Source organism: Homo sapiens, chromosome X (genome assembly GCF_000001405.40).
Source record: "Homo sapiens chromosome X, GRCh38.p14 Primary Assembly".
Taxonomy (NCBI): domain Eukaryota; kingdom Metazoa; phylum Chordata; class Mammalia; order Primates; family Hominidae; genus Homo; species Homo sapiens.
This window is the reverse complement of record NC_000023.11, coordinates 72796468-72815314: the sequence shown is the minus strand read 5'-3', so window position 1 is coordinate 72815314 and position 18847 is coordinate 72796468. Positions and strand designations below refer to the sequence as shown.

At 43.0% G+C, this 18847-nt stretch overlaps 2 protein-coding genes across 6 annotated transcripts in view, besides 1 other annotated feature; one reads left to right on the top strand and one right to left on the bottom strand.

Moving 5' to 3' along the window:
* Window positions 1–18847, bottom strand: part of DMRTC1B (DMRT like family C1B) — a 71914-nt gene that overhangs the window by 33489 nt on the left and 19578 nt on the right. The window lies entirely within an intron of this gene.
* FAM236D (family with sequence similarity 236 member D) lies at window positions 7105–7890 on the top strand. Of its 2 annotated transcripts, none has more exons than NM_001348202.1 (3): window positions 7105–7240; window positions 7422–7585; window positions 7740–7890. In NM_001348202.1, exons 1-3 carry the CDS (start codon window positions 7205–7207, stop codon window positions 7765–7767), a joined length of 228 nt encoding a protein of 75 aa, NP_001335131.1. In that variant the 5' UTR covers window positions 7105–7204; the 3' UTR covers window positions 7768–7890. The 2 variants fall into 2 exon arrangements, with proteins under 2 accessions (NP_001335131.1, NP_001335132.1); NM_001348203.1 differs by having other exon boundaries at window positions 7410–7585.
* Window positions 7294–7794: an enhancer, noted in NCBI's record as "H3K4me1 hESC enhancer chrX:72027355-72027855 (GRCh37/hg19 assembly coordinates)". NCBI's record gives its function as "activates a minimal SCP1, AML or CMV promoter by ChIP-STARR-seq in primed H9 embryonic stem cells {active_cell/tissue: H9 hESC(primed)}" and the evidence as "EXISTENCE:reporter gene assay evidence [ECO:0000049][PMID:30033119]".

The window sequence follows — 18847 nt, the reverse complement described above, 5'->3', positions numbered from 1 at the left end:
ATTTATTATTTTATTCTGAGACGGAGTCTCGCTCTGTTTCCAGGCTGGAGTGCAGTGGCGCAATCTCAGCTTACTGCAACCTCTGCCTCCTGGGTTCAAGCCATTCTCCTGCCTCAGCCTCCCGAGTAGCTGGGACTGCAGGCGCCCACGCCCGGCTAATTTTTTGTATTTTAGTAGAGACGGGGTTTCACCATGCTGGCCAGGATGGTCTCAATCTCCTCACCTCGTGATCCACCCGCCTCGGCCTCCCAGAGTGCTGGAATTACAGGCGTGAGTCACGGCGCCTGGACTAAATTTACTTTTTATCTCCAGGAACTAGGAAAAGAAGAACAAACTAACTCCAAAGTTAGCAGAAAGAATGAAATAATAAAAAATTAGAGCAGAAATAAAAAAAAATAGGGAATAGAAGACCACAGGAAAATAATCAGTGAAAATAAGAGTTGGTTTTTTGAAAAGATAAACAAAATTAACAAACCTTTAGCCAGACTAAATGAGAAGAAAAGAGAGAAGAATCAGGGAAATAAAATCAGAAATGAAAGAAGAGACTTTACAATTGATGCCAGAAATATAAAAAGAACCATAAGAGACAACTGTGAACAATTACGCAGCAATAAATGGGTCAGCCCAGAAGTGGATAAATTCATAGATGCATACAACCAACCAAGCCTGCATCATTAAAAAAAACAGAAAATCTGTACAGAACAATAAGGAGTAAGGAGATTGGATCAGTAATCAAAAACTTCCCATTAAAGAAAAGCTAAGGACCAGATGGCTTCCCTGGTGAGTTCTACCAAGCATTTAAAGAAAATTAACCCCAAACCTTCTCAAACGCTTCCCAAAGCTTGAAGAAGAGAGAATGCTGTCAAGTTCGTTCTATGAGGCCAGGGTCACCCTGATACCAAAGCCTGATGAAAACACTTCAAGAAAAGGAAGCAGGAGGACAATATCTCTGATGAACATAGAGGCAGAAATTCTCAACAAAATACGAGCAAACCAAACTCAGGAGCACATTAAAAGGATCGTTCACCATGACTAAGCAGGATCTATTTCTGGGAAGCAAGCAAGGATGGTTCAACACGTGCAAATTAATTAATGTGATGCACCACATTAAAAGGAAAATTACAATTGAGGCAGTAACTAATAGCCTACTGACCAACAAAAGCCCAGGACCAGACGGATTCACAGCCAAATTCTACCAGAGGTACAAAGAGGAGCTGGTACCATTCCTTCTGAAAGTATTTCAAACGATAGAAAAAGAGGGACTCCTCCCTAACTCATTTTATGAGGCCAGCATCATCCTGATTCCAAAACTTGGAAGAGACACAACAAATAAAGAAAATTTCAGGCCAATATCCCTGATGAACGTCCACACAAAAGCCCTCAATAAAATACTGCCAAACCGAATCCCGCAGCACATCAGAAAGCTCATCCACCACGATCAAGTCGGCCTCATCCCTGGGATGCAAGGCTACTTCAACATACGCAAATCAGTAACCGTAATCCATCACATAGACAGAACCAATGACAAAAACCACATGATTATCTCAATAGTCGCAGAAAAGACCTCCAATAAAATTCAACACCCCTTCATGCTAAAAACCCTCGATAAACTAGGTATTGATGGAACATATCTCAAAATAATAAGAGCTATTTATGACAAACACGGAAACATTCCCTTTGAAAACCGGCACAAGACAAGGATGCCCTCTCTCATCACTCCTATTCAACATAGAATTGGAAGTTCTGGCCGGGACAATCAGGCAAGGGAAAGAAATAAAGCGTATTCAAATAAGAAGAGAGTAACTCAAATTGTCTCTGTTTGCAGATGTCATGACAGTATATATAGACAACTCCATCGTCTCAGCCCAAAATCTCCTTCAGCTGGTAAGCAACTTCAGCAAAGTCTCAGGATACAAAGATCAATGTGCAAAAATCGCAAGCATTCCTATACACCAATAATAGACAAGCAGAGAGCCAAATCATGAGTGAATTCCCATGATTTCTTCTTTGCTACAAAGAAAATAAAATACCTAGGAATACAACTCACAAGGGATGTGAAGGACCTCTTCAAGGAGAACTACAAACCACTGCTCAAGGAAATAAGAGAGGACACAAATGGAAGAACATTCCATGCTCATGAATAGGAAGAATCAATATCGTGAAAATGGCCATACTGCCCAAAGTAATTTATAGATTCAATGCTATTCCCATCAAGACCATTGACTTTCTTCACAGAACTAGAAGAAAAACTACTTTAAGTTTCATATGGAATCAAAGAAGACCCCATATAGCGAAGACAATCCTAAGCAAGAAGAACAAAACTGGGGGCATCACGCTACCTGACTTCAAACTATACTACAAGTCTACAGTAACCAAAACAGCATGGTACTGGTACCAAAACAGACATATGGACCAATGGAACAGAATAGAGACCGCAGAAATAACACCACACATCTACAACCATCTGATCTTCGAAAAACCTGACAAAAACAAGGGGAAAGGATCTCCTATTAAATAAATGGTGCTGGGAAAACTGGCTAGCCATACGCAGAAAACAGAAACTGGACCCCTTCCTCAGACCTTATACAAAAATTAACTCAAGGTGGATTAAAGACTTAAATGTAAAACCCAAAACCATAAAAACCCTAGAAGAAAACCTAGGCAATACTATTCGGGACATAGGAATGGGCAAAGACTTCATGACGAAAACGCCAAAAGCAATTGCAACAAAAACCAAAATTGACAAATGGAATCTAATTAAACTAAAGAGCTTCTGCACAGCAAAAGAAACAAGCATCAGAATGAACAGGCAACCTACAGAACGGGAGAAAATCATTGCAATCTACCCATCTAACAAAGGGCTAATATCCAGAATTTACAGGACACTTAAACAAATTTACAAGAAAAAAAAAAACAAACAATCCCATCAAAAAGTGGACAAAGGATATGAACAGACACTTCTCAAAAGAAGACATTTACATGGCCAACAAACATATGAAAAAAAGCTCAACATCACTCATCATCAGAGAAATGCAAATCAAAACCACAATGAGATACCAACTTATGCCAGTCAGAATGGCGATTATTAAAAATGTCAAGAAACGATAGATGCTGGCAAGGCTGTGGAGAAATGGGAACGCTTTTACGCTGTCGGTGGGAACGTAAATTAGTTCAACCATCGTGGAAGCCAGTGTGGTGATTCCTCAAGGATCTAGAACCAGAAATACCATTTGACCCAGCAATCCCATTAATGGGTATATACCCAAAGGAATATAAATCATTCTACTATAAAGATACATGCACATGTACGTTTATTGCAGGCACTATTTACAATAGCAAAGACTTGGAACCAACCCAAATGTCCATCAATGATAAACTGGATAAAGAAAATGTGGTACATATACACCATGGAATACTACGTAGCCATAAAAAGGAATGGGATCATGTCCTTTGCAGGGACATGGATGAAGCTGGAAACCATCATTCTCAGCAAACTAACACAGGAACAGAAAACCAAACACCGCACGTTCTCACTCAGAAGTGGGAGTTGAACAATGAGAATACATGGACACAGAGAGGGGAAGGACACACACCAGGAGCTGTTGGGGGGTAGGGGATGAGGGGAGGCAACTTAGAGGATGGGTCAATAGGTGCAGCAAACCACCATGGCACACGTATACTTATGTAACAAACCCGCACGTTCTGCACATGTATCCCGTTAATTGTTTTAGAAGAAATAAAGAAAAATAAAAATTAAAGAAAAGAAGAAAGAAAATAAGACATTTAAAAGCTGAGGAAAATTTTTTAAGCACACTCTTCTAATAACTACATATAATTAATTGGTAATCATCCCTAAAGACCTTGTTAAGGTTAAAAGAATGGTTATGTGGAGACTTTTTAAAACCGTATTTGTAAATCATAAAGAAAACTTCAGTCTTCAATAGATTTACTGGTTAGCAGTGTCATACATTTAAAGAAAACATAGTAGTAGTCCCAAAAGAACACTTTTAGAAAATACAGGAGGGAACACTTTCCAGTTCATTTTATGATGGCAGCATTACTTTTATTTAAAAAAAAAAAATAGAAAAAAGATACCAGAAGAAAAAAAGGAACTACAAACCAGTGTTCCTAATGAACATAGTTACAAAACTCCTTGATAAAATTTTAGCAACTTGAATCCAATAATATATGAAAAAAAAATAATCTATTACCAAGCACAGTCTGTCCTGGGAATGTAAGGTCATTTTACCATTAAAAATCCGTGACTATATTTCACCATATTAATGGAATAAAAGAAAAGAGCATTTATTATCCAGATATATAACAGAAAAGTAATTTGATAACATAAAACACCCATTCATGACCAAAAAACCCAAACCACTTGATAAGTACATAAAGCAACGTCCTCAACCTAATAAAGTACTCCTACAAAAAACCTGCAGCTGGCACCATGCCTAATGGTGAAATACTGAATGCTTCTCCCATAAGATTAAAAATAAGGCAGACTCTTACTATGCGTATACAATTATCCTTGAGGTCCCAGCTAGTGCAATGAGCCAAGGAAAATAAGTAAAAGGCATACAGATTGAATAGGAAGGAATAAAAAAAACCTCTCCATTTACAAATAGCATGATAGTCTACATACAAAATACTAAGGAATGTGGGGATAAACATCTCCTAGACCTAACAAGTCACATAACAAAGTTACAAGACAGAAACTCAACATACAAAAACCCACTGTGTTTCAACATACTGGGAACAAATAATTGGAGATGACATTATTTAAAATGTCATTTATAATTACAGCAAAATAAATGAGGTATCTATTGAGAATTTTAATGTAATATGTGAAAGACCTGTATGCAGACCACTATAAAATACTGGCGAGAGAAAGTGGAGACCTAAATAAACAGAGATATATAATGTTCGTTGATCAGAAGACTCAGGTTAAGATGCCAATTCTCAAGTAATGGATCTATAGGCTCACCATAATCATAATTAAAGTGAAGAACTGTTTCTCAAAAGTTATATATAAATGCAAATGACATAGAAGATCCAAAGCCATTTGGAAAAGAACAAGCATGAAGGACTCACATCACCAAAGTCTCTGACTTAATATAAAGACATGGTAATCATGACAGCCTGGTATGACCTTAAGAATTCACATAGGGATCATTGGATGAAATAGAAGAAGGGCTAGAAATAGACTTACATATATATAGTAAGTTGATTTCTAATAAAGGCTCAAAGATAATTAAATTAGCTGACAATTAACTAATAGTGCTGGAAAAAGTAGATCTCTTTACGGAAGACCCAAACAACTTCAATATCTCACCATTCATCCCGACATTATTCACACTTCATGCAGGCATTAATTCAAAATAAATCCTAGATCTAAGTGTAAATTGCAAAATATTAAAACCTACAAACATCAGAAGAGAAAATCTCTGTTGTGAGGCTAGGCAACGATATCTTAGGGTAGGACACATGAAAGCATGAATCACACTGGAAAAATGATCAATGGACTGCTATTGATCAAAATTCTATTATCAAATTCTATTAAATCAATATATATCAAAATTCTATTAAAAATATACCCTTTGGGTTCTCAAAAACCAGGGTTCAGTGTCTCTGTGAGGCACAGCTTTTCAGGTTCCTGTACTGGAACCTCGTGACTGACTTTGACTTCTATTAAACCCTAGAACAGAAAACCAGGCCTACATATTTTCAGTTGCAAAACCTCACGGTATTGTCTTGGGCTTCTACTTGTGATGCTCTCCCTTTTCTCTATTTCTTGGCCAATTTCTTTTGTCCCTCCTTTCAGGCACGCCTCCTCTGGGAACTCTTCACTGACTCCGTTCCAATTCCCAAGGCTGAGTGACTGCCCGCCTCCTCAGTCCTCCCGTAGCCCCATAAACGTCCCTCCATCACTCTCTGTTACATTCATGCCTCTCTCGGTTTCTCCCTCACAGAAGAGCTTGAAGCAGAGCCTCATTCAGGGCACGGCCCATGATAGGCTCACAGAGATCAACTCTGTAGCCTCAGGATTATGTAAGAGATGCTTTCCTAAACAGCACTATTGTTTCAAAAGCCAAAGAAAGACTCTGAGGCCACCTACTTCCACTTTCCCTTCAGGATACTGTTTGCAGGGAGCTCCTGTGAAGTCAGCGGTGCGGACCGCACAGACCTGGTTAGCAAACGGGGGGCATAACTTGGCAGCATTGCTTGTAACTCAAATGTCAAAGCCTGATTTTGACATAGCAAGACTAGGCAACAAGGAGCTTTCACCTCTGCTCTTCTACTTTCTTTTGTTTGTTTGTTTGATTTGTCAGTTTGTTTTTGAGACAGAGTCTCCTTCTGTCTCCCAGCCTGGAGTGCAGTGGAGTGGTGCCATCACGGCTCATTGCAGCCTCCGCCTCCCAGGCTCAAGCAATCCTCCCCCCTCAGCCTCCTGAGTAGGTGGGGCTAGAGGTGTGTGCCACCATGCCAGGCTACTTTTGAAATTTTCTGTGGGGGTGGGGTCTCCCTATGCTGCCCAGGCTGGTCGGCTGTTCTACTTTCAACTCACCCCAGCCCAGGCCCTTCACCTCTCCCTCTCTCTCACATTTTCCAAGCCCTCCAGGCCCTAAACCACCTGATACTGACTGGTACATAGACGTGGAGTCTCACGTAAACCTCTGAAAAGAAAACTGCTGTTGATTTGGACTCTGGATACCATTACCCAGCTCACGCTCCTTGCTGTGACGACTCATTTGGACTCATACACCTGCCCAGGGCATCCATGTACATAATCCTGTGAATCAAAGGCAGGAGAGCACCCACATGGACACTCGGGTCTGTGGCATCCCCACCAAATGATGACTCATCACCAGCTTGAAGACCTCTGCTTTTTCTGCTCGGCAAGGAGAAACGTGGCTCGAGCCTGCTGAGAGGGCCAGGAAGCAGCAGCAAAGGAAAGAAAGATTGGAGGACTGGGAGTAAGAGATACAGAAACAAATGGAATGCGACATGCCAGAAATGTATCCCCTGCTGGAGCACCAGGCTGTAGGGGGGGAGGGACGATGGGGCAGGGGCAGAGGGGCTGAATGGGGCGTGGAGGGGGCAGGCCCTCGGCCTCTTTGCACCGGGCAGAGTGACGAGCTTCGCCGGTGTCTTCATTGAAGTCCTGTTGGTCCCTACCGGCACATCACACACTCCTGGAAGCATGATCTTCACTCCCTTCCTTCCACCTGCTGACCTGGTGAGTCTGGCTTCCCTCCGTTGTCCTGGAATGTCCCCTAGGAGGCTGGGCTTTGGTCTGCGCAGGTCACTGCTGCATCCCTCACCCATGGAAGAGGGCCGGAGATGCACACAACAGTTGCGTAACGGAAGCCAGGGATGGGAGGGATCATTAGGATCCAGTTATTTAGTCTGTCTTTCAGAATGTGAAAGGGCCGCAAAAAGACCCTGAGGAATTGGTTGCTGTATCTGACACCGCGGAGGACCCATCCAGTGGCACAGGCTTGCCCAGGGAACCTGCTCTTCTGCGAGGGTCTTGGAGGAGCCGGTTCCAGAGGGCCCTGGCATGTTTCATCAAGTGCTTCAGGCGAGAGCTCCTTCGGAGCCAGCCTCTGCCTGTCTCACTGGCTCGCCACCAAGCCCATCCGCCTCCCCTTCCTGTTCCACCAAGAGAACCTCAGGCCAAGTCAGAAATCCCCAGGGCTCCCGAGGGTCCACTTGTCACTCGCTTTCCTCCCTAGGGGAGGATACCGGGCACTCGGAATCTGAGACCACCGGAGCCACAGACACAGGCGTGAACGGTGACCGAGCCCCCTCTGATGCTCCATGCCCCTGCTCGCCCCAGTGTCCCGGTCACCGGGCCTGAAATAAATGCTGGCACGCTTGACTGTTTTTGCTTTGTGGCATTTGATGTAACTTTCAACACGTCGGCTGAACTGGGGGTGGTCAGCTTTGGTGGTGGTGGGGTTGTGAAGGGAGAGAGCTAGCATCTTCCTTAGCCCTGTTAGGCTGTCTGCCCTCCTCCTCGAGGCAGCGCTGCTTGTTACTAGGTCCTGGTGGCGATGGGCTGTAGCCAATCAACGGTGAGTTTTCCACGGCTCTCAGCTCTGACCCTGGCGGGGCACTTACATGCAGGAATGAGGACGGAATAACATCTCACATGCAGGAATGAGGACGGAATAACATCTCTCTTACCCCCAGCAATGCACACAGTCTTCATATCTGAGGAAAACTGGGCGGTGTTTATATGCGGAGGCGAGAGGGTCATGTGGAGGAAGAATCTGTGGACCTCAGAAAAGGCGTTAACCCCTGTACTGACAAAGAGCTCCCAAGCCCCGCCTACTCCACCACAAGACAGAGACCCCTTCCAACAGACGGCCTTGTCTCCAACTATGCATTGTTCCTTTCCATAAGATGAGGACTTTATTTTTTTTCTTTTGCCTTCCTAAGGTGACCTTGATATGTGTTGCAACACAGTATCAGCAGGAGAATTCTGAAAGGGGGGCGGTTGGAGCATAATTGTCCCTGTTAACTAACAACCATGGAGGAGGCCCTGTTAGAAACTGCAGCACCAGGGGTCACCAAAGTAAATGGACAAGGATATTGGATGTGCTCTTTAGCATCAAGAAGCCTAACTAGGACACAGGAACACCAAAATTCTCTCTCCCCCTCCCCCGTCTCATGCAGTCCCCTGTGCAAAGCCAGGGGAGGAAAAAAAAAAAATGCTTTCTTAGGGCCTGCTGGGTGAATTACTCACCCTCTGGTTCTTCAGAGGTCCAGGGCCTTTAAGCTCAAATGAAATCCAGATGGGGTAAGGTTCAGGTAGGCGACAGCATTTGGAAGTCCCACAGCCCTTTTCCTATATTCCTGGGGAACAGCCACGGTGAGACCCATAGGTACTGAACAGACAGAGCTGTTAATTATGGAGTGATGGAGTTCTTTAGATCCCATGTCTCTGCAGCTTTTTCGATGGCACAGGTACCACCTATCTCCCCACAATGGCTCTGTCCTCCTGAGCTGGGCCCTAACTCAGTGGGGGAAGTTCAGCTCCATGTTGCTGCTTCTCCAAAAGGGGCTAGGACTTGACATCATGGGGTTTAGCCCTAAACCCCATGTTTAGTCCAAAAGAGGAGCAGCGTTCCAACTCCCTAGGGCTGGGGGCTTGTTGGGTGTTCGTTCCTTCATAGCTGCTGTCATAACCATGAGCTCAGTCATTGCACTGGTAAGGGAGTGTCAGGGAGAGTCTGTGCATACATGTGCATGGGCATGCTTGTGCTTGTATGTGTGTATTTAGGATGCAAATACTTGTTGAAACAAGAAATGATGTGGGGAAATCTGGTGGATAGGGCACAACTTGGCAGTCACTCTTGAAACCCAAGTGGCAGAGATGGGATTTAAAGGTAGCCAGACTCAGCAACAAGGAGCCCTTCTCCCCAGCACCACACTCTCTCCAGGGCTCTCCAATCTGATCCTAACATTGTCCAAGTCTGCTTTGCCCAGAACCATATGCCCACTACCCACCAGATGCTGACTGACTCCCACACACAGCCACAGCACTACGCATCATCTCCTGAAAGGAACACCTCCACTGCTGATTCGACCTCCAGTTGCCATCGTCCACCTCAGGCCCTCTTGGGTTGGATGGACCATGAGGACTTCCCTGCCTTCCCCATTGCGCAGGCCAGTGGACTCTGCAGCCTCACAGCAGAAAATGCTTTCCTCTGCCAGCCCCGTATACACAGGAGATTCCACTCATGTTGAAATTTGGTCCCCAAGGTGGTGGTGCTGGGAGGTGAGGCTTAGTGCACGGTTGTTTGGGTCACGAGGGCTCCACCTTTGTCCTTGTAGGTGTCTTGGTGCTCTCCTCACAGTAGTGAGTGAGTTCTTGCTCTGGCGAGACTGGATTAGTGCTCGCAGGAATGGACAAAGTGCCCAAGATAGTAGGTTGCTATACAGCCAGGATGCCCCTCAGGTTTTCTCTCATTGCATGTGTCCACTTCCCCCTTGACCTTCCTCACCACATTATGACACAGCACACAAGCCCTCGCCTGAAGCTAGGGCCATGCCCTTCAACTTCCCAGCCTGCAGAACCATGAGCTAAATAAATATTTTTTTATTTATAAATCACGCAGTCTCATGTATTCTGTTACAGCGACACAAAACAGATGCTCATGCATCTCAAGAGCAGGCCCATTACCCATTGCATGATGAACCATTTGAGCATGCAGGGCAATCACATGCAGGAATGGGGAAAGACAGGTCAGCAATAGGGGAAGGCATGGGTCGTCAGCTTTACACCTTCGTTTCTGAAATATGACCGTGACCGAGTTATGAGTTCTTCTCCTTTGCTTACACCTCCCCCCGACCCGCGTTTACATCACCTCACAATCCCCGTGCCTGAGAGACGTCTCAGGTAGGTCGGTAAAGTAAAGTCGACAGTGCCTCAGAAGAAGGTGTGGGGTCAGAAATTCCACGGCTCCAGGCTCACCCAGCACTTCTGGTGAACAGAAGACCATTGGACTGTGCGAGTGAGCAAGAGATTAAGCTTGTTTTTCTGCCCCACCTGTCCTCAATCTCTCTGGTGCTATGTTCCCGTGAATCCTGGGCAGCCTTACAGAGGCAGCAACATTTGTACTTAGCTCCATGAAATGTTACACAGCCTGCTGTGTTACAGGAGCGTCACATGTTTTTGTTTTATTATTCCACCATCCGGATCAAGGTGAGTGGTGTGATCACCATTCTGAGGTTGCATCGCCAGCACAAGAGGGAGCCATGATACAGTGCCTGGTTGATCTGAGGCAAGGATCCTTCCATTACAGCAATGCAGCCTAAGAGCCACTGTCACCAACTACAAATCTAGGGGGTCCTATTGAACTGTGAGTTACAGCCCATGCTCTTGGTGATGGGGACACTGTACTTGCAGTCCCACATGCAGCAAAGCTAAAACATTCATGGAGTCAGGGTTCCCCGGTAACAGGGTGCTTGGAGACAGTTCCCACCACACAGTGCCCAATCTCCTCCCACACTGCACCCACTGGGGACTTGTTTTGACTGGTAAAATGATGGTGCGACGTAATGGGGAAAAAACTGCATCTGTCGTGCCCCTCCTCCAGTGCTCCCCATGGTCACCTGAGGTAATTCTACAGACTGCCAGAGTACTCCTGAGAACAGTCGGAAGACTGCTGGTGTCCTACAGAAGATGGAGCCTAACCGTGGGCCTTCCAGACACATACTAATGAGTGATGGGACCTCACATTGGTCATATCAAATCACATTCATCTGGTTTATTTCCTGTAGGGGGAAAGCTGCATCTCGCTGGAACCCCCAGAGTGGTGCCCGCAGCATCACAGGGTGGGCAGCTCAACCTTTAAGCCATCCCAAGGGGGAGCACACGCTCCAAGACCACTCTCATAAAAGGCTGACCCATCCTCACTGCACTGATTACAAAGAGAGACTTGGCTTTCCTGGGACTCCAGCATGAGGAAGTGTAATGAGATCATGCCAGTGAGGGTCAACGTGGGCTTTGCTTGTTTCTGTGACCCTGCCAGTCAATTTTATTCATTCACTGGCCATCTTTAGACACCTCTAGTCTCAATCACAGAAAATAGATGGGCATAGGGAGAAATTGTGCCCAAAGAAAATGCACTCACTCACTCGTGGGTTTTAAAGTTTGTGGGGAAAATTAGTGGAGGAGGGTTTGGAGGGAAGTGGCATTACTTGAGAGATGCTTTTCATAGGATAGATAGAACGGTGCTGTGTTAGGCTGGAGGTGGGCCTGGGGCAAGGTCCAGAGGCAAGGGGCCAAGGATGACACCCAGGTTTCTGGCTTGAGTGACTTGTGGCCCTGGGGTACCATTGACCCAGATAGGGATCACAGGCGGAGGAGGAGAATTCAGTGAAAGGCTGAAGAAATCGGGTCTAGTCTTCGGTTCTGCTAAGATTCATATAGCTGATGGGTTGCTGAGAAGCTACGTTGAACATACTTGGCAATTACACAGGAAATAACCAGAATTCTACCCCATTCAGGAAATTTATACACATCCTGTTCTTGTTTCGGCTTGGTTTGGAGTTTGTTTACATACACGATAACACATGTATGTTTTGGTGTATGGTGTAAAGGTGAGGCTCAAAACTGGTGGTGCTCAACCATGTTGGGTAATATTTGCAGGCTGTCCCAGGCCCTAATTGGCCACTTAAGGGTGGACAAGACCTGTAGTGCAGAGACATCATAAACCATTGGCACACACCATGGAGCATGGGTTAGGAGGCTTTGGTCTTGGTTTACTTATCCATCAGCGTCCTCTGGGGATTGTGAGGGGAGGGTGAACAGCCTCCTCCCAGAGGTAGGAGCTAGACTTGTCTTATTTACTTGCTGTGAGAACTAGATGGGGTAAAACGTGTGGGGGCATGCCAGGCAAAACCTGGTCCCCAGTAACAGTGACTTCCCATATCTACCGAGAGGACAGGAGCTATGGATTCTTTGGGTGGCATTTGTAACTCCACTGGGAATAGTATCATCAGTGGGCATTTAATGATTAGTAGTAATGTCGGTGACCATTTGTCTCATAATACACAGCTCTGGTATGTTTTCTGCAATTGCCTGGATGAGTAATCTGTTGGACTTGCATCATGTTCCTCATGTTCTTGTTTTTTTGTTGTTGCTGTTGTTGTGGGTACATAGCAGGTGTATCTCACTTTCTAATATCTTCCAGGGCTGTTGGGAGCTTTCTCATTACTCCTCACAGCAGTCCTGGGTGGTTGAGAAGGACCGACGCTATTACTCTTTGTGGGAGCGGGAAAGAAAGCGTCTCACAGAGGGGTTGTGAAGATTACTTGGGATGCCCCCTCCACAGAGCAGCTGGTGTTGTACCAGGCCTAGAGGCAACATCCATCAGGTTCCTTGAGATCAGGCCCTTTGGGATAAGCTCTGGATGCCATTTGTCCCCAGATCATCATCCAGCAGCAGTCATTTACATGCAAATCATGATGATACTAGCAATAGCTGCTAAGCCTGAGAGGTTGCATTGATAAGAGCTATGGGCTGCTGAAATGATTGCTGGAGGTATGTCTCACCCCCTTTCCTTTTATCCCAGCTGGGGTCAAAAAACCCACCTTTCCGACACTTGCAATGGTGGCTCAGAACTGTTATCTGGTTATTAGAGAAGTGGCCAGGAGAGAGCCAGTTGCTTAGACAAAGTCACAGTTAGTGGTGGGTCTTGTCCTGGCCCCCAGATCTCCCAACCCTCACTACAAGTGTCCTGTCCAGCAGGCCCATTATTATGCCCCTTCTTCTGCCATTCCTTGTCTTGTGTGCTTTGAAGTAGGCACACACCTCTGAGGACAAAAGAGGGCTTCTTCTGCTACATGCTGTGTTCCCTCTGTGTCTAGGAGGAGGCCAGTATGAATGGGGCTTTAATGTTGGCCTATAGCCTGCCATGGGCCCACGTCACTGCATAGCTTTCCAGTTAGGCACACATAGGTCGGGATCTTGGATTAGAATCTAGGGACAAATCCCTGCACCTTTTCTTAGCCTCGCTTTCTGCATTTGAGCGCTGGGGTAAATAGGAGGAGCGACGTCAGCAAGAAGGCTGAACAGATGATCCCACAGTACCACTCTCCCCACAAAAGTACAACTACAAATTAATCAAAGGCAAGAATACCACCCTGGTTTCACTAGAACTTGGGGGAGAAGCAAGGAAACTTCCTGGGATGACAAAACTGAGAAAAGCCACAACCAGTAAGAGGAACAACAGTCACGTTAGACTGTGCCACCTCCTCCCCCAAACCAGCATAATGCTACTCACAGAGAATTTCTCTAGACCCACAATTTCTGAGGTGGAAGGAGGGAACTGGAAGTGGACATGTGACCTCCCCATCAGTCTGGGAATCTTCATGGGAAGTCCCCTCCAGCCCTATCCCACGGGTACCCTTCAGAGTTCCAGAAGAGAGCTGAAACACCTGGGGTGAATTGGGAACAGAAAGTGGGTGCACTGATCACAGCAACTCTCACGTGGATCTTGGCAGCTGCTCTGTGCCACGATCAGTGGGCATGCCAATGCTGAGGAGACTGGCCAGAACCACAGCACTGCTGGGGGCGCAACACACAGGAAGGCCCAGATCCCTGGCCAGATTTCTCACTAAGCCCATGTGATCACATGGAGCCTTCCCTTGACCTGGAAAGAACTAAAAGGTTGGCAATAATGGGCCAGTGTTCGCTTAAGTCTTCCCCAGACCAAGAAACAGTGGCAGGGCAGCAACATAGTTAAGTGGAGCATTTAAGTTCTGGTGCTCACAGTAAGTCTTTTCCAGACTGAAAGCAACAGCTGGCCAGGGATTAAGTTCCAATATTAAGTAGTAAAGGTTTGACACCACCAAGGAGCAGCTGCAAAACCTGGAAGAGGTGAGCATCTCCTTAAACACACAGACATCAACATAAAGAGACAAGGATTGTGAAAACTCACAAAATGTGACACGCCAAAAGAAACCAACCAAACTCCAGTAACAGACCCAGAAAAACTGAAGATCTATGGAATGTCTGACAGACAATTCAGAATAATCCTAAAGAAGTTTGGGGAATTACATGACAATATGGATAACAAACTAAATAAAATTTGAATAACAATCCAGGAACAAAACAAAAAATTTGACAAAGAAATAAAAACAATTAAAAAAAAAAAAAAAAAAAACCAGAAGTCCTAAAATAGAGAATACAGTGACTGAACTGAAAACCTCATTAGAAAGGTTTAACAGCAGAGTTGACCAAACAGGGGAAAGAATCTGTAAGCTCCAAGACAGAACATATATAGAGGAGGAAAAAGACAAAAGCATTTTAAAAGAGGGAAGAAGGCCTTTAAGAATTATAAGACATCATCAAGAAAATTAGACTCTGCATAATAGAAATTGCTGAAGAAGACAAAAAAAAATACAAGGTCTAGAAAGCATATTTAGAAAAATAACGGCTGAAATTTCCCAAATCTGGAGAAAGATCATAGCATTCAGGCACAGGAAGCTCAGAGGTGACAAATAAAATTCAACCCAAAGACAAATTCCCCAAGGCACACCATATTCAAATTATTTAAACAAATCAGAGGCAAAGAAAAATGCTCAAAGCATCAAGAGAAAAACAACAAAAACAACATATCACACTCAATGGGTCACCAATACAGCTTTCAGTGGATTTCTCACCAGAGACCCTGCAGGCCAGGGAAGGGAGGAATGATACATTCAACGTGATGAAGAGGAAAAAAACTGTCAGTCAAGAATACCATATTCAGCAAAGCTATCCTTCCAGCAAAAAAGAAAGAAAAAGACTTGCTGAAACAAAAAGAAAAGAAAGAAAAGAAAAAACGTGAGAAAAATCATCAACACAACACCTGTCTTACAAGAGATGCTAACGGGGTTTCTTCAGTCTGAAAGAAAAGAACACTAACATGTAACAAAAAAATATCCGAAGGTATAAAACTCACAGGTAATAGTAAGAAAGCAGACAGATTTACAATGCTATAATATTGTCATCGCGGGTTGCCAAATATATCTTAAGTATGAAACCTAAAAGACAAAACTGTTCAAAACAGTAATAACTACAACAATTGGTTAAGAGATAAGAATACAAAAAGATGTAACTTAAAACATCAGAAAGTCAAAGTGTGGAGGGAGGGATGAGTTAAAGTGTAGAGTTTGTTTTTGTTCGTTTTTCCTGTGATTAAAGTTAAACTGCTATCTGTTTAAAATAACCTGTTGTAATTATAAGACATATTTTATACATCTCATCATGGTAACCACGAAGCAAAAACCTATAATAGGGACACTAAAATATAAATAGGAAGGAATCAAGATTTACTACTAGAGAAAAATACATAACAGCAAAAGAAGACAGTAAGAGCAAAACAAAGGAAGAACAGATCTACCAAAAAAAAAAACAAAAAACAAAAAACAGAAAACAGGTAACAAAATGGTAGTGTTAAACTTTTACCTGTCAATGATAAACTTGAATGTAAATGGACTAAGTTCTCCAATTAAAAGACATAGAGTGGCTAAAAACACAAGCCCCAACTAAATACTGTCTAGAAGAAACTCACTTCACCGACAAAGACACACACAGACTGAAAGCAAAGGGTTGGAAACAGACATTCCATGCAAATGGAACCCAAAACAGAGTGGGAGTACCTCTACTTAGATCAGATAAAATAGACTTTATGTCAAGAACCATAAAAAGAAAAAGACAAAGAAGGCCATTATATGATGTTAAACAGGTCAATAAAGCAAAAGGATATAACAATTGTAAATATATGTGTGTGTATATATATACATATGTTTTTGTAACAATTGTATATATAGTAATATATATTACAAAATATATATATTTTAACAACTGTAATATATATTGTAATATATATTTAATTGTTAAATACGTATATTCTAACCATTGTAAATATACATATTTTGTAAATATATATATAGTAAATATATATAAATACTTATAATTGTTATAAATATATGCACCCAACACCAGGGCATCCAAATATGTAAAGCAAATATTAAAAGACCTGAAAGGAGAGATTGACCATAATACAATAATAGTGAGGGACTTTAATACCCCACTTTCAGCAGTGGACAGATCATCCAAACAGAAAATTAACCAAACAGAAAATTAATGTCGGCATTAAACTGCACTCTAGACCCCATGGACCTAACAGATATTTACAGATCATTCCATCCAAAAGCCACAGAATACATATTTTTTCTCAACAGCACATGAAACATTCCTCAGAATAGACCATACGTTAGTTCACAAAGCAAGTCTTAACAAACTTTTAAAAATCAAAATCACATTGAGTACTTTCTGACCACAATGAAGTAATCAATAACAGAGGGAATATTGAAAACTGGGCAAAGTCGTGGAAATGAAACAACATGCTCCTGAACAATGGATGGGTCAATGAAGGAATTAAAAAGGAAAAAGGAAATTTAAAGATTCCTTGAGACAGATGAAAATGGAAACACAACATACCAAATCCTATGGGATACAGCAAATGCAGTTCTAAGAGGAAAGTTTATAGCAATAAATGCCTGTGTAACAGAAGTGGAAATATCTCAAATAAACAACCTAATGTTACGCCCCAAGAAACTAGAAAAAGAACAACAACAACAAAAAAAAAAAAAACCCAAAGTTGGCAGAAGAAAAGAAATAACAAAGATCAGGGCAGAAATAAACAAAATAGAGATTTTTTAAAAACAACTTAAAAATCAAAAAACAAAGAGTTAGCCTTTTAAAAGATAAAGAAATTGACAAATCTTTAGCTAGACTAACTAAGGAAAACAGAGAGAAGATTCAAATAAAAACAGAGATAAAAAAAGGAAACATTACAACTGGCACAACAGCGGTGGAGATGATGATAAGAGACTATCATGAACAACCATCTGCCAAGAAATTCAAAATCTAGAAGAAACAGATAAGTTCCTGAACACATACAAGCTACCAAGATTGCATCACAAAGAAATAGAAAACCTGAACAGAAACAATAAGGAATAATGACATTGAAGCAGGAGTAAACACTCTCCCATCAAAGAAAAGTCCAGGACCTGATGGATTTGCTGGTGAATTCTACCAAACATGTAAAGAACTGGTACCAATTCTTCTCAAAGGCTTAAAAACAAACAAACAAACAAACAAGCAAATAAATGAAGAGGAGGGAATAGCTTCAAACACATTTTACGAGGCCAGCATTACTGTAATTCCAAAGCCAGACGAGGACACGACAAAACAACAAAGCTAAAGACCAATATCCCTAGTAAGCATGGATGCGAAAACCCTCAACCAAACACCAGCAACACATTAAAAACATCATCCATCATGATCAAGTGGGATTCATCCCAGGGATGCAAGGTTGGTTCAATATATGTGCAATGTAATAAAAGTGATGCCTCACATCAACAGAACAAAGGACAAAATCCATATGCTCATTTCGATAGATGCTGAGAAGCATTCAAAAAATGTCAACATCCCTTCATGATAGAAACTCCCAGCAAAGTGGGCAAAGAGGTAAAAAACATACCTCAACAAAATAAAGGCCGCATATGATAAACCGAAAGCTAATATCATACTGAATAGGAAAAAGTTGGACGCTTTTTCTCTAAGATTTGTAACAAGAAAAGAATGCTCACTTTCACTGCTTAAATTCAACTTAGTATTGAAAGTTCTAGCCGGAGCAATTAGGCAAGAGAAAGAAATAAAGAGCGCCTGTATTAGTCTGTTCTCACGCTGCTGATAAAGACATACCCGAGAGTGGGTAATTTATTTTTTAAAAAGAGGCTTAATGGACTCACAGTTGCACGTGGCTAGGGAGTCCTCACAATCATGATGGAAGGCAAAAGGCACATCTTACATGTCGGCAGGCAAGAGAGAAAATGAGAGCCAAACAAACGGGGAAACACCTTATAAAACCAACAGGTCTCGTGAGACTTATTCACTACCGCGAGAACAGTATGGGGGAAACCGCCCCCAAGATTTTATTATCTCCCACCAGGTCCCTCCCACAACACATGGCAATTATGGGGGCAACAGTTCAAGATGAGATCTGGGCGGGGACACAGCCAAACCGTAACAGCATCCAACCTGAAAGGAGGAAGTCAAATTGTCCCTGTTTACAGACGACATGGTCTTATATAGAGAAAACCCTAAAGACTGCACCAAGTAACTATTAGAACTAATAAGTGAATTCGGTAAAGTTGCAGAATATAAAATCAGCATACAGGAATCAGTAGCATGTCTGTTTGCCAATAGCAAACTATCTGAAAAAGAAATCAAGAAAGTAATTCCATTTACAATAGCCACAAAAAAATAAAAAAT

Bases quoted from the DNA above. Each gene is read 5' to 3' on its own strand.
- FAM236D (NM_001348203.1), top strand. From the start codon at position 7,205: ATGATCTTCACTCCCTTCCTTCCACCTGCTGACCTG. The intron at 7,241-7,409 runs GTGAGTCTGGCT...CCAGTTATTTAG, and splicing joins TCCTTCCACCTGCTGACCTG to TCTGTCTTTCAGAATGTGAA. The intron at 7,586-7,739 runs GCGAGAGCTCCT...TTTCCTCCCTAG, and splicing joins TGTTTCATCAAGTGCTTCAG to GGGAGGATACCGGGCACTCG.